General features: G+C 42.4%; 2 long non-coding RNA genes across 4 annotated transcripts in view, besides 1 other annotated feature; one reads left to right on the forward strand and one right to left on the reverse strand.

Moving 5' to 3' along the window:
- FKBP1A-SDCBP2 (FKBP1A-SDCBP2 readthrough (NMD candidate)) overlaps positions 1 to 21,999 on the reverse strand; it is an 83,264-nt gene that overhangs the window by 22,655 nt on the left and 38,610 nt on the right. The gene's annotated exons all lie outside the window — the stretch shown is intronic.
- The window catches only part of SDCBP2-AS1 (SDCBP2 antisense RNA 1), a 53,393-nt gene that overhangs the window by 7,221 nt on the left and 24,173 nt on the right, over positions 1 to 21,999 (forward strand). The window lies entirely within an intron of this gene.
- Positions 9,342 to 9,636: a silencer, noted in NCBI's record as "tiled region #14422; K562 Repressive non-DNase unmatched - State 19:H4K20". NCBI's record gives its function as "represses a minimal TATA promoter and a strong SV40 promoter by Sharpr-MPRA in K562 cells {active_cell/tissue: K562}" and the evidence as "EXISTENCE:reporter gene assay evidence [ECO:0000049][PMID:27701403]".

Raw genomic sequence — 21,999 nt, forward strand, 5'->3', positions numbered from 1 at the left:
GGGCATCCGATCTGAGTCCCAGCTCTGTGATGTTGCACATGTTACTAAACCTCTCTGAGCTGTAGTTTCCACACCTACCTTCTTTATAGACTTATCCTGAAGACTAAATGAGGTAACCATGTGAAGTACCTAGGACACAGCTGGCATTTAGTAAATGTTAGTTTCCTACTTTCTCATGGCTACATGTCACAGAAACAGTCATCTGATTGGAGTGAAAATAGAGATGCTCTTCCCAGAAGAAGAGAGAATGTCGGCTGGGCAGAGAAGGAGCTGCTCTACACTCCAGCCCTCTGCATGGAATCTGGGTAGTGCAGCAAGACCCTGGCTTATGTCATCACAGCTTTGTTCCTACTGCTGAATTGAAATAATAACAGGAAGCGTAGCATTTATTGAGCTCCTGCACACTGGGTGCTCTGCTGGGCACTGGGCATACACTGATCTCATCTGTTCACCATAATTCCCAGCTTCAGAGTGAAGCACTTTGCCCAAGGCAACACACCCCAAGAGTGGTAAGGCCAGGCCTTGGCTCTGAACCTCTAGGAGTCTCCTACCCTAGTGCAGCTGAGTCACAGATTTCTCTTTAAGAAACCCACAAAGAAGTCCTTAGGTGGCAAAAATTTGATCACATGGCCACATAGAGCTGCATGGGAGACTGGGAAATGGAGGCAGTCTATTGTTAGCAGGTTCTGTGCCAGCCTCTACTATAGCATGCTGTGAAGCCCTGCCCTTTCTGGACCTCAGTCTCCGTATTTGGCCAGGGAAGAGTTTGGATGGATTTTCTCTGAGGTTTGCCCTAACGGTACTAAGGCCCCACAAAGGGCCAACTCTATTGCCACTTCCAGTCCCTCCTGTGGCGTGAACACCAAAGATGTCCACTATGAGCATTTGGTCTCCAAACACAATGTCCTTCATGCTATTTCTGAGCTCCATCTTGGTTTTGCTTTTTGGAGATGTGTGTGAGTTAAGGTAGGCCAGGTTATGCTGCAGCAACAAACAACCCTGAAATCTTGGTGGCTCCTAATAGGAAGTGTCATTCTCATGCACGCTACTACCCGTCAAGGGCTGGCAGGGTCCCCATGTCTCCTTACTCCAGGACTGGGGGTGATGGAGCAGCTGCCATCTCAAAGGCCGTCAGAAGCCACGGCAGAGGGAAAGAGATCTCTATCTGGCAATTAAGTGCTCCAGCCCAAATGACAGATGTCACTTCTCACACCTTGTTGGCCAGGTTACCCCACCTCCCAATCACAAGGGAACAGGGAGCTGCCATCCCACCACATGCCTGGAAGGCAAAGAGTAGGAAATATAGGAGGATGACATTAATAACAACCTCAGGCCTCTGTTCCAGAGTGTCTGCCAGCCAGCTCTGATCATCTGTGTCAGGGCAGGGGTAGCAGATGTGGCCTGGGAGGCTGCACCGAGCCCTGCTGGGACCTACATGGGGAGTGAGGGGCTGAAGAGATGGAAAGACGTCTGACATTCTGGAGTCTGGGGCCGAGGCTGGACAGCGCAACCTGCCACTGTAGGTAGAATTCCTATGTTGAAACTGAATCTCCAATGTGATAGTACTAAGAGGTGGGGACTTTTGGAAGGTGATTACGTCATTAGGGCAGAGATTAGGACTCTTATACAAGAGGTCTGAGGGAACTTGTTTGCCCCTTTACGTGACGATGCAGTAAGAAAATGTAATCTTTGAAGCAGAGAGCACCTTGATCTTGGACTTCCCAGCCTCCAGAATTATAAGCAGTAAATTCCTGTTAAAAAATTACCCAGTTTAAGGTATGCTGTTACAACACCCTGAATGGACTAAGACACAGTCCCAGGCAGGAGCGTTAGTTTCCACTTCTGCAAAATTGGGGCAGTATTCCCTAACCTGCAGAATTTTGATGAAGATGAAATGGATGAGTAACAGTGGGGAAACTTCTGTCTACTCCCAGCAGCCTTCTACGGAAGGTGGACTTTTCAGCAGAAGACTCTGCCCAGCTGAGCCCTATGCTGGATTTGGGTGGTCAAATTTGAGAGCAGGAGCTTGGCAAAGAGGGGCTTTGGGGAGGCAGTCAGTTTGGCGGGGGCATATTGTAAGACTGTGTGCTTACAAAAGCACAATATATTCCTAAGATTTCTTTGGGGTGACTTTATTTGGGACAGTTTTGGGGGAGTTGACGGAGGTGGGGGCACTCTGGCCCCTGATGCCTTCCCCCATTCAAACAGACTTGGGGGTTCCTGTGGCAATGCACAAGATGGGGGTGCAAAAAGGGGGCAAGAGAAGGAAGGTAGCATGATGGACAGAGGCTGGACCAGTATAGTGACCCCCAGGGAAGGTCCCCTGGGAGGGTGCAGGCAAGTAGGAGGGTACTCTGAGAATAGAGTCAGGTTCTGAAGCTGTTGCCTTCCTATGATGCAAGCCTCAGCTCCTCCTCCATCCTCAAATCTTCAGTAAACGCCCTCTGTTGACAGGACATTCACTACTGCACAGTGGGCACTCAGCTGCTGCTTTGTGTCATCTCGTGTCATGACATGTCATGTCAAAGCCAACCTGTGGACACACAGGTCCTCTCGGCTTCCCTCAGGTGGGGGTGGGGAGAAAGCAGGTCAAAAGCCCAGCCTTGGTGGGAATGTAAACCAGTACAACTGCTACGGAAAACAGTATGGAGATTCCTTAAAGAACTGAAAGTAGAACTACCATTCGATCCAGCAATCCTATTACTGGGTATCTCCCCAAAGGAAAAGAAGTCATTGTATGAAAAAGATACATGCACACACATGTTTATAGCAGCACAGTTGGCAATTGCAAAAATATGGAAACAATGTAAATGCCCATTAACCAATGGGTGGATACAGAAAATGTGGTATATATACACAATAGAATACTACTCAGCCATAAAACGGGACAAAATAATGGCCTTTGCAGCAACTTGGATGGGGCTGGAGGCCATTATTCTGAGTGAGGTAACTCAGGAATGGAAAACCAAATATCATATATTCTCTTGGGGTTTTTTTTTGTTCTTTTGTTTTTGTTTTTTGAGACGGAGTCTCGCTCTGTCGCCCAGGCTGGAGTGCAGTGGCATGCGAACTCGGCTCACTGCAACCTCTGCCTACCAGGTTCAAGCAATTCTCCTGCCTTAGCCTCCCAAGTAGCTGGGACTACAGGTGCGCACACCACCATGCCTGGCTAATTTTTGTATTTTTAGTAGAGACGGGGTTTCACCATGCTGGCCCGGCTGGTCTTGAACTCCTGACTTTGTGATGTTCTCTCTTTTAAGTGGGAGCTAAGCTATGAGGATGCAAAGGTGAAGAAGAATAATATAATGGACTTTGGGGACTCACAGGGGAGGGTGGGAGAGGTTGAGGGATTAGAGGCTACATACTGGGTACAGTGTACACTGCTCAGTTGACAGGTGTACCAAAATCTCAGAACTCACCACTAAAGAACTTACCCGTGTAACCAAAAACCACCTGTACCCCAAAACCTATTGAAATAAAAAAGCCTAGCCTTGGTCCTGCCCAGCGCAGAGAGACATGAAGCTATGACTTGGATTTACTCTTCCAAAAGCCTCCAATAGCCAGCCCTGATCTGCTGACACAGTTCCCCTTCTGAGCAGAGAAATGGAGGAGAAGGCAGCAGAAAGATGAGAAAGAATCTCCCATGAGATCAGGGGCTAGCTCATTAATCTAGGTGAGTATGCCATTTTGGAGATAGACAAACTGAGCCCTGGAGAGGTCAAATGACTCAGTAATGCAGCCAGACTATGGCACAGGCAGGGTGATGAGCCACATCTGCCTTCCTGTAGCCACCAGACAAGGGAAGCAGGGGCACAGAACAGTCACATAGCAATTCAGTAGCAGAGCCAGGATCCAGTGACCCCAAACCCTGGTCTCTCCCGACTGCTAGCCTGGGAATGTTGCCCAGCTCTTTCACCCACTTTTGGCCTTGCCTCTTCACCGCACCTGAGGATCCAGGGACCCCAAGCCCTGGTTTCCTGGCTGCCAGCCTGGGAACATTGCCCAGCTCTTTCACCCACTTTTGGCATTGGCTCCTCACCACACCTGTGCCAGTGGCTGGCTGGGTTACTCGGAGTCGTTTGACTCCTCCAGGGCTCAGTTTGTCTAATCTCCAAAATGGCATGTTCACCTAGATTGAATAGCTAGCTTCTAATCTCAGGGAAGTGTCTATCTTGTCTTTCTGGGGAGATTCTGGGTGTCAGATAGGGAGAGGCAGCATGACCTGAGAAATCTAAGCCCCAGACACTAGAGGCGGAACTGGTCCCCCCTGCATCCTGGCCGGAAGCAGCATTTGAAGCTGATCTTGAGCGAGACAGTATGAGGACAGCCATTGCCATTGTTGCACACATGATCTTACTCAACCCTCAGGTGGCCCTGTCGAGTGGGTTCCTTCGTTTTCTAGTTTTTCCATTGAGAAAACACAAGTAGGATTCAGTCTGAAGACTGGTAGTTCAGTGCTCCCAACAAGGGGCAGGAGGGGCCTGGCTGAGCACCCTGAGGGTGGAGTCGGGGCAGGTGCCAGAACACGGATGCTTTCCCGTCTGGCTGGAGCTGCTCCCGCTGTGTTCCGGAGCAGGGCAGAACAGGAAGGCAGGAACAATGGGCAGCCGGCAGTGGCGGGGTGCTGGGGTTCCTGAGCCAGGGGTGGGGAGGCTCAGGCCTGGTCACCACCAAGGCTGGGGGTGCAAGTTTCCTGTGCAAGAGACTAACAAGATTAGCCACTAACATTTTTGAGCACTTACTGTATGTCCGGACCCGTGTTAGACACTTTAGATGGATTAGCCTCATTTTACAGATAAACAAATTGGGGCACAGAGAGTTTAAATGAAATGCTCAAGGTAAGTAAGAGGTGAAAGATTTGAACCCAGGCAGACTGGCTTCAGATCCTATGCTCTTAACTACTATAACTTTATATGTGTATACATACATATATGATTATATGCATGTTATACATACTTTCTCATAATTTTCCCCTTTCACTTAATTTACCATTGCCAGTTTTCTGTGTCATCAATATCATCCTTGTTTACAGTGCTAACGTGCCGGGAAGACCTTGTCCATGTGTCCTGGCCACATCCCAGTCTGTTCTTCCCATGACCTGAGGGGTCTGGATTTCCACTGTTGGTGCTGTCATTGAGTTAAGGTGCGGTGCCTCTCGTTTAAACTGCTGATAACAGTGGTGGCACCAAGGTGTGGGCTGGGGGGTGCTTAAGCCCCTTTTAATCTCTATCATAATAACTCCCTTATCCAAATAAACACCATCGACATAAAATAATGTGCTTTTATGCAAACAGTACTTCAAGACAGGCCTCCCTCCCCAGCTCAATCATTGCTGCACCTAAGCATTCCCACAGAGAAGTCCCCCAGGTAGCCTGGCTGGTGGGTTAATGTCAGAGTGGTGCTGGCTCTGAACGCAGCTGTGGGAGCACTGCTGGTATCTTAGGATCCGGTGGGGTGGAGATTTGGAGCCCAGGAAGACCCAGCCTGACCTGGTGGTGGTGGCTTCAGAAAGAGCTGGAGAGGGTAGAGGCCCTTGCCTAGGGCTCTTACTGCATTGTATGTAAGATGAAGGCCACAGATTGGTGCTGTCAAGACTGGGAAGGCCTGTGGGACTCAGGACCCCAGGGTAAGACTGACCTGCCCCTCCTTTCACCTGAGACAGACTGGGAGATCCCAGGGCACTGGGGGCAGGGGAGCGGAAGGGGCTTGTTGAAAATATCCACCATGGCAGCTAGGAGAGCCTGCTGGAGCCGCTCCTCCGGGGGTGATGAACAAGCTGGAGGACCCCTCCTGGAACCCCCTTTTTGCCCTCACAAGGCCAGCTGGGAGCACTGGATAGGGAACGAGACACCTGAGTTTTGTGTTCTAGTTTCATCGCTGCCTGTGGGTGGCTATGTGGCCCTGGGCAAGTCACTCTCCCTTGGTAGCCTCTGGCTTCCCACCCCTACCATACCAGGGAACACCATGGACTCTCCCGTTCTGCCAGATGGTCTAACAAAGATGCTTTCCCTCTTGGGTCACCTGGGCTGGCAGGTGGGTGATTCAGAAGTCACCTTTCTGAACCTCCAACTATTATTACATATTAATATACATTTACATAATTACCTTCCAGGTATGGCCTTTGGGGGTCACCTGTTATCCACTTCCCCTTATGGTAGCTGTCCTCTATTTTCATCTGGGGAAGCCTCCTCTCCTCCACCTCAGCCATGTGCAGTGGATGGAGTTGACTCTTCTTCTGGCTCCAAAAGGGGAAGAGAGGCTTGCGGATCTGTGCATTCCATTTCCCAAACCTCAGAGGAATGGGGGTTGGGTGGGGCATGTGACCCAATTCCAGCCCATGGCATCAGGCTTAGAACTGGTCCTGATTATGGAGAAGTCTGGAAGCGTCAAACCTGAGGGGATTTGAGGTTGGAGTTAACTGGCAGCCATCCTGCCCCCATGGAGAATGGAGCCATTGCAGAAAAGGCGGAGCTGGGGATGGAGAGAGAGACCCAGGGCCTCCTGATGCAGCTTAACCCCTCAAGTCCAGCTGTGCGTGAAGCCAACTGCTCACCCTTAGGCTTTTCAGGTACAAGACAATCAAATGCCTTTTTCACTGAAGCCAGTTTGAAGTGGGTTTTCTGTTGCTTACAGCTAGAAAAAGCCTGACTTTTGTTGATGTTACTTAATTCTATGCTGCCATCAAAGGTACGATGATTTTTTAAAGGAAAATATTAAATCTGCTTAATAACAGGTTATTTTTATTTTTATTTTTTTGAGAAGGTCTGGCTCTGTCGCCCAAGCTGGAGTGCAGTGCCGCAATCTCGGCTTACTGCAACCTCCGCTTCCTGGGCTTAAGGCATCATCCCGCCTCATCCTCCCAGCCTCCCAAGTAGCTGGGACTACAGATACATGCCACCACACCCTGATAATTTTTGTATTTTTAGTAGAGATGATGTTTCTCCATGTTGCTCAGGCTGGTCTTGAACTCAAGCAATCCACCCACCTCGGCCTCCCAAAGTGCTGGGATGACAGGCCTGAGCCACTGCACCTGACCTAATAACAGTGTTGTTTTTTTTTTAATTAAAAAGATGCAAATCAGGTTTCCCTTGTAAAAAAAACTGACACTAGTGTATTTTTACTTATAAAATTGCATACCACCATCTCCTTTGGTGATATGATCAAAGTTCTTCACATCTAGAGTCTAGACTGTGAGAAACAAACTCACCCGTCCAAACCCAAAGAATGGACTCAGAGACACGGAGAATAGCGGAAGTGAGACTTTTAATACAGTCTTGCAAGATCAGGTGTCTGGTGGGCAGGCATACCCCGCACAGTTACAACAAGCAATTTATCCTCTAGTGTGCAGGTCCCTCTCCTGGTTCCTCATAGGCTGAGTATTATGGAGACCAGCGTTGGCCAGGCTGGTCTCAAACTCCTGACAAGTGATCCACCCGCTTCGGCCTCCGAAAGTGCTGGGATTACAGGCATGAGCCACCGCGCCTGGCCAGGTAGGGGTTTTGGGTGTTTTCTTTAGGGTTGTCTCGGTGCATTTTGTTGCAGCCCATAATGCATTGCAATTATAGTCTGCTCAAGGGCTTTTTAAGTATTTGACCTATGACCTAGGTAGTCAGGCAAGCTGATAAAAGAATAGATAAAGTGAGCTATTTTGCAGGCTAGTAAATTTTCATTCTAGACTAAACTCTTAGGTTCGGATGAGAGCAACTAAGGGCACCCCAACAAGCAGGCTCCAGCTATTGAAGCAAGGGCCTAGGATATTCTGTCCTTCTGTAGCTGGCAGACCCAGGCCTACTTGAGGCACTTCATCTTGGAAATGGACCACCATTTACATATTTCCTACATAGACTTTGGAGGTGTTTAGCAATTTTTACTTTCCTTTTTCTTTTCTCTCTTCTTTTTTTTTTTTGACAGAGTTTCATTCTGTTGCCCAAGCTGGATTGCGGTGGCATGATCATAGCTCACTGCAGCCTCTAACTCCTGGGCTCAAGTGATCTTCCCATCTCAGTCTCCTGAGTAGCTGGGACTACAGGCATGCATCACCACATCCAGCTAATTATTTTCTGTAGAGATGGGGTTTTGCCATGTTGCCCAGGCTGGTCTCAAACTCCTGGACTCAAGTGATCATCCCACCTCAGCCTTCCAAGGTGCTGGGATGACAGGCCTGAGCCACCATGCCCAGCCTTCTCTTTCAATCGCATTGTCTGGCTAGCAGTAAATCAGTCTTCTGTATACTCAATATAATCTGTTATTTCCATGTGGCATCATTTTAAAAGTCATTTTAAGTGATAGGGAATCGGGTAAAATTCCACTGGACTTTATCACAGCCACCCAAACAAATGGATAGCAGATAGTGACAACACCTAACTCCCCCTCTGCCTGCTGGCTGGCAGATTTCTTGGACATCCATTCTCGGGCACACCCTCATTCAAGAAACTTTAAGATGGTGCTGATGGGGAGGTAGTGTGTGAGAATGAGTTACGATCATCGTTACCATTTCTTTGAAGCATTCCAAATTGCTAGCAAACTTGAAACAAATGCCCCTGGCTGAGTCTGGGTGTGTTGGGGGCCAAGTATATAATTGGAAGTTCTCTGGATTAATGTCTATATACAATGCTTATTACAGGTGGTTTTTAAATGTGCTAATATCATATTAAAACTTAACCATAACCACAATGATTGTTTAGAACTGAAGACTAACAGAAGGTTTTTTGGACTAATTTAATCACTGACTTTGAAATTGCCAGTGCAGTGATACTAAAAAGCAGACCTACTTTTGGTGGTTTTCTTGTCACCTTCAACTGTTCTGCAGACTACGTCCCCCTCATTGCCTGTACGAGGTGGGTCTCCCACTGCCCTATTGTGCTCAGTAAATGTTTTGATGATCATAAGGAGAGGTCCTTAATGGGCATCCCAGAAAGGAGTGAACGAGGGAGTGACCCGGGACAGGGAGCCATTGCTTCTGAGTCTTAAGCCTGATTATGCTATGTGTCCTTAGGGAAGCCATACCCTCTCTGTGCTTCAGATGGGTATCCTTTCCCTGCTCTGCTTAGCCTGGATGATGGAGATGTCAGGCCTTGGGCAGAAGTGAATGACAAATGCTTGCCTGCTCCAACCCTGGGCACCCACCTAGGAGTCAAACACATGCCGGTGCTGGGCCAGGTCAGCCTCATCTGCCCATCCCCTTCTCCTCTTGCTCCCCAGCTATCCTTACACCTAGCTAGGCCTTTTAATGCTTAGTAGGGGCCCCTCACGTGAAGGGGCTGATCTCTGATGCTCTCAAGGACCCCTGTTCCTGGAGTTGCCCCATGGCTGCCACTGGGCGCCTCTTCCCAGCCTGTGCAAAAACCCCTTCCCAGTGTCTCACTGCTGCACTGGCTTCACAGCCCCGGGCTGTGGTCCCAAAGGACATCTTCCAGTCCTGTCACTCAGCCATCCCCAGTGAGTTATGCTACAGCTGAGCTTGGCTAAAAGGCAGCCTCATTCCTGCCTGGAACTTCTGCTCCTTTCCCACTTTTAATCTGATGGCTGAGTCTGACTCACTGCAGGGCTGTGAGGACAACAGATGGCCCAGAAGAGAACAAATGCACACACACACACACACACACACACGCATGATATATACACCCCATGTTTCACATTACTTTAGCTAAGGGTAGTGAGATGGCCACAGAGCAAGAGCAGATGCAGCCAGTCATGGCCTGGCTTTTGACCTTCCCCAGTTCCCTGTGCAGTGGTTGCTACTTTCTCTGAGTAGGTAGGATCCTTCCAGAACAGAGTAAAAGGCTGAGTTCCTGCTATGCCACAAAGTCTTTTATATTCAGTTTCCATCACTTCCAGAAGAACGTACATAACCATGAAGGCCTGCCCTTGTAATGTTCACCAAGGTCGAATTTCCCTAGTTCCTAAAGCTTCAATATTACCATTCCAGTCTTCCCGTGACCCAGATAACTCTTTCAAGCTCATCTCGCCAGTGTCCTGAGTCCATTATTTCCATTGAGGGACCACCTCATATCCATCAAACATGACAGGAGAGGTCTGAATGCCATTGGTTGGCAGAGATTGTTTCTTCCCTGGTTCTCCCCTGTGAAGACTGAGAAGTGGTCAGTCTGCCAACATTGAGAGACAGCTCGGGAGGTTTTGTCTGCCTGGTGTATACAGAGGAGGCTGTGATGGGTCACATCTAATGTCTTTCCAGAGCAGAGAGGAGCCCATGATGGGGATGTCCCTGTCCTGACAGGTGAGGGGCAGGACACCCAAACACGTATGCAATGCGTACACTGGAAGTTAAGGTCCATGACGACGGGGACTCTTTTGTTTACTATTGTGTTATAGGACCTTAATAAATATTTCTTCAGTGAGTCACTGGAACCACACTTACAGTATATTAAAAATATGCATAGAACGGCCGGGCACGGTGGCTCACGCCTGTAATCCCAGCACTTTGGGAGGCCGAGGAGGGTGGATCACCTGAGGTCAGGAGTTTGAGACCAGCCTGGCCAACATGGTGAAACCCCGTCTCCACTTAAAATACAAAAAATTTGCCGGGCGTGGTGGTGGGCGCCTGTCATCCCAGTTACTCGGGAGGCTGAGGCAGGAGAAGTGCTTGAACCTGGGAGGCGGAGGTTGCAGTGAGCCGAGATAGCGCCATTGTACTCCAGCCTGGGGGACAAGAGTGAGACTTCGTCTCCAAAAAAAGCATAGAACAGCAAAATACTTTTTCACTCATTTTTTAGCAAACATTTAAAAGATGATAACATCCAGGCTGGGCATGGTGGCTTACACCCATAATCCCAGCATTTTGGGAGGCCAAGGCAGGTGGATCACTTGAGCTCAGGAGTTCAAGACCAGCCTGAGTAAAATAGTGAGACCCCATCTGTACAAAAAATACAAAAATTAGCCAAGCATGGTGGCACATGCCTGTAGTCCCAGCTACTCGGAAGGCTGAGGTGGGAGGATGGCTTGAGCCTGACAGGCAGAGGTTGCAGTGAGCTGAGACTGCGTCACTGCACTCCAGCCTGGGTGACAGGGCAAGGCCCTGACTCAAAAAAATAATAATAAATAAAAGATGATAACATTGTTTTGGTGATAATGCAGGAAAATATGCGCTCCTCATTGCTAAGTGGGCAACACTGCCACATATAGTGGCACGGGCTATGCACTGCACAACTGCATAATTGTAAGAGTGTTACCGGTGGAGGGTGTCCAGGTTCTTGGCGTCTTGAACAAATAATTGGACAAAACGCTCAAACAAAGCAAGGAAAGAATGAAGCAACAAAAGCAGAAATTTATTGAAAATGAAAGTACACTCCACAGTTTGGGAATGGACCCAAGCATAGGGGCTCAAGGGCCCCGTTACAGAATTTTTGGGAGTTTAAATACCCCCTAGAGGATTCCATTGGTTACTTCATGTATGCCCTGTGTAAATGAAGAGGATGAAGTAAAGTTACAAAGTCATTTACTTGGTGTATGCCTCATGGAGAGGATATTTCCTGTCATAGCTGAAGTGTGAATTGGCCTTATGTTCCCTGCCTCCAGACCCTATTTTCCTGCCTCAAGAGGAAGACCTGATGGAAGGGATTTTGATAAAATGTATCAAAAGCCTGAAAAGTGTACATACTTTTTGAACCAAGAGTTCTACTACTTCTAGGATTTAGCTTTAAGGAATAACTGTGAGGTGAATGAAGATTTAGCCAAGGATCTTCATCACATCGTTTATAGTAGTGAAAAAAAGTCTAGGTGATTAAAAATAGTGATTGACTAAAGAGTGTCACACACACACTCATATAGCAGATCGCTCTTCAGGAATTTAAATGACACTCCAAGAATAAATTTAATAACCCAGGCAAGTAGTGGCATATGCAGTAGAAACCCACTTTTAAAAGGTGTGGGTATATATATGTATATGAATTTTTATGTGTGTGCACAGGAAAAAAACCTAGAATAAACCTAGAATAAATAAATAAATCGGGGTGAAGAATTACAAATGCTAGTAATTTTATTGTTTTTGGTTTTTATCTATTAAATAATTTTTCCAAAATGAATATGCATTAGCTGCATGTTTTATAAAATTAAAAAAAAAACTTATTTTAAAAATACTGGAAGAAAAGACAATAATGAATTATTACAAGTTGTTTTGGAAGGGATAAGATTTTGAATTCTTCTATACCTCTCTTACTATAAAGCTGTAGTAATTTTATAATGGAAAAATAAACTTTTAGAAGAGAAATAGGAGATTTGGGGATCAAGTGGATAGATTAGCACATGCTAAAATCTATCTTTTTACTTGAAAAACACAAAAATGATAGAAAAAATTTTTAAATACATACATAAATATAAACATATACACTCATTCTCAAAATCTTTCTCGACCAGAAACCAAAAATAAAGGTCCCACTGTTGGAAGTAGGGATTGAACCTCAAGACCTGCGGGAGCTGGGTCTGGAAACAGGCTTTGGGCCTGTGGTAGCCAGCCTTCAGGATGGTCCCGGATGACACTTACCTCCTAGGTATTCATGCCCTTGTGTAGTCTCCTCCCACAGTGAATCAGGGCTGATCTGTTACTAGTAGAGTATGATGCAAGTGACAATGTGTGACTTCCAAACTAGGTCATAAAAGGCACTGCAGCTTCCATGTTGGTCTTTTGGATCACTGGATCTGGGGGAAACCAACCACTGTGTTGTGAGGACACGCAAGCAGTTCTGTGGAGGCTCACGTGGAGAGGAAAGAACCAGGGGACCAGCTACCTTGCAAATCAACCCTAACAACTTGGTTGATGACACAAAGACCACAAAGGAAAGAGTACATGAAGCAGGGCCCTTTGAACCTATGGAGCACAGTTTGGCACTATGTACCAATGACACTTGTTTTAATTAACAAACCAATATTGATACATTATTATTAACTATAGTCTATATTAAGGTTCTCTTTTTTTGTATTGTACAGATCTGTGGGGTTTTGACAAATGCATAATATTGTGTATCCACCATTACACTGTCATACAGAATAGTTTTTACTGCCCTGAAAAGCCTCTGTGCTCTACCTATTTAACCCTCTGCGCTCACACCAAACCCCTGGCAACCACTGACTGACCTTTTTACATTCCCTATAGTTCTGCTTTTTGCAGAATGTCATAGTAGAAATCATACACTATGTAGACTTTTCAGACTGGCTTCTTTCATGTAACAATATGCATTTGTTTCTTCCATGTCTTTTCTTAGCTTGGTAGCTCATTTCTTTCTGTTGCTGAATAATATTCCATTGAATGGATGTGCCAGACTTTGTTTATTCATTCACCTATTAAAGGACATCTTGGTGGCTTCCAGTTTCTGGCAATTGTGAATAAAGCTACTATAAATATTTATGTGCAGGTTTTTGTGTGGACATAAGTTTACAACTCAATTGGGTAAATATCTAGGAGTGCAATTACTGGATCATATGGTGCAAATATGTTTAGTTTTATAAGGAACTGCTGAACTCTTCCAAAGTAGCTGTAGCGTTTTGCATTCTCACCAGCAATGAAAGAGCATTCTGTTGCCAGCATTTGGTGTTGTCAGTTTTGTGGATTTTAGTCACTCTAAAAGATATGTAGTGAAATCTCATTTTAATTTGCAATCTCCTAATGACATATGATGTGGATCTTCATCTCTATGCTTATTTGTCACCTGCATATTTTCTTTAGTGAGGTGTAATTTTCAGACCTTTTGCCCATGTAAAAAATTAGGTTCTTTTCTTATTGTTGAGTTTTAAGTGTTTATAATTTTGAATACCAGTCCTTTATCAGTTAATGTGTTTTGCAAATAACTTCTAATCTTTGGCTTACCTTTTCATTCTCTTAACATTCTTTCACAGAGCAGAAGTTTTTAATTTTAATAAAGTTCAGTTTAAGAATTTTTTGTTCCATGGGTTGTGCTTTTGGTGTTGAATTTAAAAACTCATCGCCAAACCACAAACCACATAGATTGGTTCCTATATTAGCTTCTGTAAGTTTTGTAGTTTTATGTTTCACATTTAAGTCTAAGATCCATTTTGATCTAACTTTTATAAAAGGTGGAAGGACTGTCTGGATTTTCCCATTTGTTAAAAAGATTCTCCTCTTCCCTCTTCCTGCACTGAATTGCCTTTGCTTCTTTGACAAATATAATTTGACTATATTTATGTGGGTGTATTTCTGGGCTCTCTATTCTGTGCTGTTGATCAGTTTGTCTGTTTTTTCACCAATACCACACAGTCTTGCCTAATGTAGATTTATAGTAAGTCATAAAGTCAGGTAGTGTTAATCCTCTGACTTTGTTCCTTTTCAGGATTGTGTTGGTCATTCTAGGTCATTTGACTTCCCATATTAACTTTAGAATCTGTCAATATTCACAAAATAACTTATTCGAATTTTATTGGAATTGTGTTGAATCTATAGATAGGGTTGGGGAGAATTCTCGTCTTAAAATTATTGAGTTTTGCTATTCATGTACATGGAATATCTCTCCATTTATTTATATTTTCTTTGATTTTTGTCATCAGAGTTTTCTGTGTTTCCTTATATTGATCCTGTACATATTTTGTTGGATTTATGCCTAGGTATTTCATTATTTTTGGTGGTAATGTAAATGGCATTATGTTTCTAATTTCAGCTTCCAACTGTTCATTGATGGCATAAAGGAAAGCACTAAACTTTTAAATATTAACTTTATATTCTGTGAACTTCCTATAATCACTTATTAGTTCCAGGAGTCTTTTGTTGTTGAATCTTTGGGATTTTCTATGTTAGACAATCATGCCACACTGTACACAGAAATAAAGACAGCTTTATTTCTTCTTTCCCAATTGGCATGCCTTTTATTCTCTTTTCTTGTCTTATTGCACTAGCAAGAAATTCTAGTGCAATATTAAATAGGAGTGGCGAAAGGGGACATCTTTGCCTTGTTCCCAATATTAGGGGGGAAAACATCCAGTTTCTCATCATTAAGTATGATGTTAGTTGTAGAATTATTGTAACTCCCGTTTGTTAATTTGAGAATGTTTCCTATTACTCCTAGGTCGCTGCGAGTTTTTATTATGAAAGGGTGTTGGATTTTGGCAATGCCTTTTTTGCATCCATTGATATGATCGATCACATGATTTTCTTCTTAAACTTATTGATTTGATGAATTACATTAATTGATTTTTGAATGTTGAACCAGTTGTTCCTGCCTGGAATAAATCCTGCTTGGTCAAATCATGGTGTATAATGATTTTTATACATTGTTGGATTTGATTTGCTAATTTTTTTAAAAAAAAATTGGGGGTACATAGTAGGTATATATATTTATGGGGTACATGTGATATTTTGATTCAGGCATTCAATGTGTAATAATCACATCAGTGTAAGTGGGGTATCCATCACCTCAAGCATTTATCCTTTCTTTGTGTTACAAACAATCCAATTATACTCTTTTAGTTATTTTAAAATGTGCAATAAATTTTGTTGACTGTAGTCACCCTGTTGTGCTATCAAATACTAGATCTTATTCATTCTGTCTAACTATATTTTTGTACCCATTTACCATCCACATTTCCCTCCCTACTCCCCCAACTACCCTTCCCAGCCTCTGGTAAGCACCATTCTACCTTTATCTCCATGAGTTCAATTTTAAAAAACTTTTAGCTCCCCCAAATAAGTGAGAACATGCAAAGTTTGTCTTTCTGTGCCTGGCTTATTTCACTTAACATAATGACCTTCAGTTTCATCCATGTTGTTGCAAATGACAGGATCTCATTCTTTTTTTATGGCTGAATAGTACCCCATTGTGTATATGTACCACATTTTCTTTATTCATTCATCTATTGATGGACACTTACATTGCTTCTAAATGTTGGCTATTGTGAATAGTGCAGCAATAAACATGGGAGTGCAAATATCTCTTTGATATACTGATTTCCCTTCTTCTGGGTATTATCTAGAAATGGGATTGATGGATCATATGGTATCTCTATTTTTAGTTTTTTGATGAACTTCCAAACTGTTCTCCATAGTGTTTGTACCAATTTACATTCCCACCAACAGTGTATGAGGGTTGCCTTTTCTTTACATCCTCATCAGCATTTGTTATTGCCTGTCTTGGATAAAAGCCATTTTAACTGGGGTGAGATGATATCTCACTGTAGTTTTGATTTGCATTTCTCTGATGATGATAATGATGTTAAGCACCTTTTCCTACGCCTGTTTGCCATTTGTATGTCTTCTTTTGAGAAATGTCTATTCAGATGTTTTGCCCATTTTAAACTCAGATTATTAGATTTTTTTTCCTATTGAGTTGTTTGAGCTCCTTATATATTTTGGTTATTAATCTCCTATCAAATGGATAGTTTGCAGATATTTTCTCCCATTCTGTGGGTTGTCTCTTTACTTTGTTGATTGTTTCTTTTGCTGTGAAGAAGGTTTTTAACTTCATGTGATCCCATTTGTTCATTTTTGCTTTGGCCGACTGTGCTTGTAAGGTATTACTTTGCCCAGTCCAATGTCCAGGAGAGTTTCTCCAATGTTTTCTTTTAGTAGTTTCATCGTTTGTGGTCTTAGATTTCAATCTTTAATCCATTTTAATTTGATTTTTGTATATATTGCAGGAGATAGTCTAGTTTCATGCTTCTGCATATGGATATCCAGTTTCTCCAGCACCATTTATTGAAGAGACTGTCCTTTTCCCAATTTATATTCTTGGCATCTTTGTTTAAATAGATCAGATGGATTCGTTTCTGGGTTCTCTATTCTGTTCCATTAGTCTGTCTGTTTTTATGCCATTAACATACTGTTTTGGTTATTATAGCTCTGTAGTATAATTTGAAGCCAGGTAATGTGATTCCTCAAGTTTTGTTCCTTTTGCTCACAATAGCTTTGGGTATTCTGGGTCTTTTGTGGTTCTATATAAATTATAGAATTTTTTCTATTTCTATTAAGAATGTCACTGGTATTTTGATAGGAATTGCATTGACTCTGTAGATTGCTTTGGATAATATGGACATTTTAACAATATTGATTCTTCCAACCCATGAACATGGAATATCTCTATTTTTTGTGTCTTCCTCAATTTATTTTACCAATGTTTTATAGTTTTCATTGTAGAGATCTTTCACTATTTTGGTTAAGTTTATTGTTCGGTATTTTATTTGTGGCTATTCCCAATGGAATTACTTTCTTGATTTCTTTTTTAGATTGTTCATCCTTGGCATATAGAAATGCTACAGATTTTTGTATGCTGATTTTGTATTCTGCAACTTTAGTGAATTTATCTAACAGTTTTTTGGTGGAGCCTTTAGGTTTTTCCAAATAGAAGATCAGATTGTCTAAAAACAAGGGTAATTTGACTTCTTCTTTCCCAGTTTGGATGCCCTTTCTTTCTTTCTTTCTTTTGTCTGATTGCTCTAGCTAGGACTTCTAGTACTATGTTGAATAATAGTGTACTGGGCATCCTTGGCTTATTCCAGATCGTAAAGGAAAGGATTTTAGTTTTTCTCCATTCAGTATGATAGTAGTGATGGGTCTGTCATATATGTCATATATGGGTTTTATTATATTGCAGTACATTCCTTCTCTACCCAGTTTTTTGAGGGTTTTTATCATGAAGGGATGTTGAATTTTATCAAATGCTTTTTCAGCATCAATTAAAATGATCATGTAGTTTTTGTCCTTCATTCTTGTTGATAAGATGTATCACTGATTGAATTGCATATGTTGAACCATCCTTTTATTCCTGGGATGGATGTCACTTGGTCATAATTAATTATTATTATTATTTTTTGAGACAGACTTTCGCTCTTGTCGCCCAGGCTGGAGTGCAATGGCGCAATCTGCAATGGCTCACTGTGACCTCCGCCTCCCAGGTTCAAGCAATTCTCCTGCCTCAGCCTCCCAAGTAGGTGGGATTGCAGGCCCCCACCACCATGCCCAGGTAATTTTTGTATTTTTAGTAGAGATGAGGTTTCACCATATTACAGGCGTGAGTCACTATGCCCGGCCATGAATGATTTTTTAAATGTGTCTTTGAATTTGGTTTGCTAGTATTTTGTTGAGGATTTTTGCATCAATGATCATCAGGGATCCTGGCCTGTAGTTTTCTTTTTTTGATGTGTCTTTCTCTGGTTTTGGTATCAGAGTAATACTGGCCTTGTAGCATGAGTTTGGAAGTATTCCCTTCTCCTCTATTTTTCAGAATAGTTTGAGTAGGATTGGTATTAGTTCTTCTTTAAATGTTTGGTAAAATTCAGCAGTGCAGCAATTGGGTCCCGGGCTTTTCTTTGCTGTGAGACTTTTTATTATGGCTTTGATCTCATTGCTTGTTATTAGTCTGTTCAGGTTTTGGATTTCTTCATAGTTCAATCTGGGTAGGTTGATTTATCTATTTCTTCTAGATTTTCCAATTTATTGGCATATAGTTGCTCATAGTAGTGTCTAATAATAGTAGTGTCTTTGAATTTCTGCAGTATCAGTTTTAATGTCTCCTTTTCATCTCTGATTTTATTAGTGTCTCCTCTCTTTTTTTTTCTTAGTTGGGCTAAATTTATCAACATTGTTTGTCTTTTCAAAAAAACAAATTTTTGTTTCATTGATCTGTATTTTTTAATTTCAATTTTATTTACTTCTGCTCTGATCTTTATTTCTTCTACTGATTTTGGGTTTTGCTTTTGCTTTTCTAGTTTTTTAAGATGCATCATTAGATTATTTGAAGTTTTTCTACTTTTTTGATGTAGGTGCTTATTGCTGTAAATTTTCCTCTTAGTGCTGCTTTTGTTGTATCCCATAGGGTTTGGTATGTTGTGTTTCCGTATTCATTTATTTCAACAAATTTTTTTCTTTTTTCTTATTTTTTTCTACTTGTAAATTTTTTATACGATAACAAAATGTTTTTCACTTTCCTTCTTAAATTTCTTTATTGACCCACTAGTCATTTAGGAGCATATTGTTTAATTTCCATGTGCTTGGACAGTTTCCAAAATTCCTCTTGTTATTGGATTTCTAGTTTTATTCCACTGTGGTCAGAGAAGATACTTGATAGTATTTCAATTTTTGGGAATTTTTACATACTTGTTCTGGGGCCTAACATATGGTCTATCCTTGAGAATGATCTATGTGCAGAGAAGAATGTGTATTTTGCAGTCATTGGATAAACTGTTCTATAAATATCTTTTAGGTCCATTTGGTCTATAGATGGAATCTATAGTTCAGATTAAGTCCAATGTTTCTTTGTTGATTTTCTGTCTGGATGATCTGTTCAATGCTGCATGTGGGATGCTGAAGTCTCCAGTTATTGTACTGGAGTCTGTCTCTCTAGCTCTAATAATATATACTTTATATATCTGGGTGATCCAGTGTTGAGTGCATATAGGTTTACAATTGTTATATTCTCTTGATGAATTGACCCCTTTATTATATAATGATCTTCTTTGTCTCTTTTTATAGTTTTTGTCTTGAAATATACTGCTCTTTTTTGGTTTCCATTTGCAAGGAATGTCTTTTTCCATCCCTTTATTTTCAGTTTACGTGTGTCTTTAAAGTGTGTTTCTTGTAGGCAAGACATTATTGGGTCTTATTTTTTTAAAATCCATTCAGCCACCCTTCCTTCCTTCCCTTCCTTCCTCCCTCCCTCCCTCCCTCCCTGCCTGCCTGCCTTCTTTCCTTCCTTCCTTCCTTCCTTTCCTTCCTTCCTTTCCTTCCTTCCTTCCTTCCTTCCTTCCTTCCTTCCTTCCTTTCCTTCCTTCCTTCCTTCCTTCCTTCCTTCCTTCCTTCCTTCTTTCCTTTCTTTCTCTTTCTTTCTTTCGATGGAGCCTTTCTCTGTCACCCAGGCTGGAGTGCAGTAGCACAATCTTGGCTCACTGCAACCTCCAGCGCCCAGGTTCAAGCAATCTTCTTGCCTCAGCCTCCCAAGTAGCTGGGACTACAGACGCGCCATGATGCCTGGCTAGTTTTTTGTGTTTTTAGTAGAGAGACGGGGTTTTGCCATGTTGGCAAGGCTGGTCTCAAACTCCTGACCTCAGGTGATCCACCTACCTTGGCCTCCCAAAGTGCTGGGATTACAGGTGTAAGCCACTGTGGCCGGCCTACTTTATGTCTTCTAACTGGAGAGTTTAGTCCATTTGTCTTCAATGTTATTATTGATAAGCACTTACTCTTGCCATTTTGTTATTTGTTTTCTGGTTGTTTTGTAGTCTTCTTTTCCTTCTTTCCTTCCTTTCCATCTTCCTTTTAATGAAGGTGACTTCTCAGGTGGTATGTTTTAATTTCTTGCTATTACTTTTGTGTATCCATTGTATGTTTTTTTATTTGAGGCCACCATAAGGCTTGCAAATAATATCTTGTAACCCATTATTTTAAACTGATGACAACTTAACAATGATTGCATAAGCAAACTAACAAGCAAAGAGATGAATAAAAACTCTACACTTTAACTTCATCCCCTTGCTTTTGACTTTTTGTTGTTTCTATTTATATCTTATTATACTATGTCTTGAAAAGTTGTAGTTATTATTTTTGACAGGGTCATCATTTAGTCTTTCTACTCAAGAGATCAGTAGTTTACACACTACAGTTACAGTGTTATATTCTGTGTCTTTCTGTGTACTTATGATTATCTGTGAATTTTATACTTTCAGATGATTTTTTTTTTTTTTTTGAGACAGGGACTCACTGTCACCCTCGCTGGACTGCAATGGAGTGTGGCTCACTGCAGCCTCAACCTCCCAGGCTCAAGCAATCCTCTCATCCCAGACTTTCAAATAGTTGGGACTTCAGGCACATACCACCATGCCCAGCTAATTTTTACTTTTTGTAGAGATGGGGTTTCATTATGTTACCCAGGCTGGTCTTGAACTCCTGGACACAAGCAATCCCCCAACCTTGGCTTCCCAAAGGGCTGGGATTAAAGGTGTGAGCCCCCAGATGATTTCTTATTGCTCAATAACATCCTTTTTGTTTTTTTAATTGAAGAAATTCCTTTAGCATTTCTTGTAGGACAGATCTGGTGTTGATAAAATCCCTCAGGTTTTGTTTGTCTGGGAAAGTCGTTATTTTTCCTTCATGTTTGAAGGATATTTTCACTGGATAAATTCCAGTATAAAAAGGTTAGTTTTTCTTTAGCCCTTTAAGTATGTCATGCTAGTTTCTCTCCTGGCCTGTAAGGTTTCCACTAAGAAGTCTGTTACCAGATGTATTGGAGCTCCTTTGTATGTTATTTGTTTCTTTGGCTGCTTTTAGGATCCTTTTTTATCTTTGACTTTTGGGAGTCTGATTATTAAATGTCTTGAGGTAGTCTTATTTGGGTTAAATCTGCTTGGTGTTCTATATAACCTTCTTGTATTTGAATATTGATATATCTCTAGGTTTGAGAAGTTCTCTGTTATTATCCTTTTGAATAAACTTTCTACCCTAGTCCCTCTCTCTACTGCCTCTTTATGGCCAGTAACTCTTAGATTTGCCCTTTGGAGGCTATTTTCTAGATCTTGTAAGCATGCTTCATTCTTTCTTATTCTTTTTTCTTTTGTCTCCTGACTGTATTTTAAAATACACTGTCTTCAAGCTCATTAATTCTTTCTTCTGCTTGACAAATTCTGCTGTTAGGAGACTCTGATGCATTCTTCAGTATGTCAGTTGCATTTTTCAGCTCCAGAGTTTCTGCTTGGTTCTGTTTAATTATTTCAACTTCTTTGTTAAATTTATCTGATAGGATTCTGAATTTCTTCTCTGTTATCAACATGATTTTGTTGAGTTTCTTCAAAATGGCTATTTTGAATTATCTATCCAAATATTCATCAATCTCTGTCTGAGATTGGCCCCAGGTGGGTCCATAGATGTCGTCCAGAAGGCAGGGCCTGTAGTTGGGAACCTTAGGAGTCTACCTGATGCTCTATTCTACTGCGGCTGAGCTTGCATCCAAGCCACAAGACAAAGTCCTTTCCACTATTCCCTCCCCTTTCCTCAGGCAGAGGAGTCTCCCCATGGCCACCACTGTCCTAGGCCCGTGGTGAGTACTGCCTGGC

This window comes from Homo sapiens, chromosome 20, assembly GCF_000001405.40.
Source record: "Homo sapiens chromosome 20, GRCh38.p14 Primary Assembly".
In the NCBI taxonomy this organism is placed as follows: domain Eukaryota; kingdom Metazoa; phylum Chordata; class Mammalia; order Primates; family Hominidae; genus Homo; species Homo sapiens.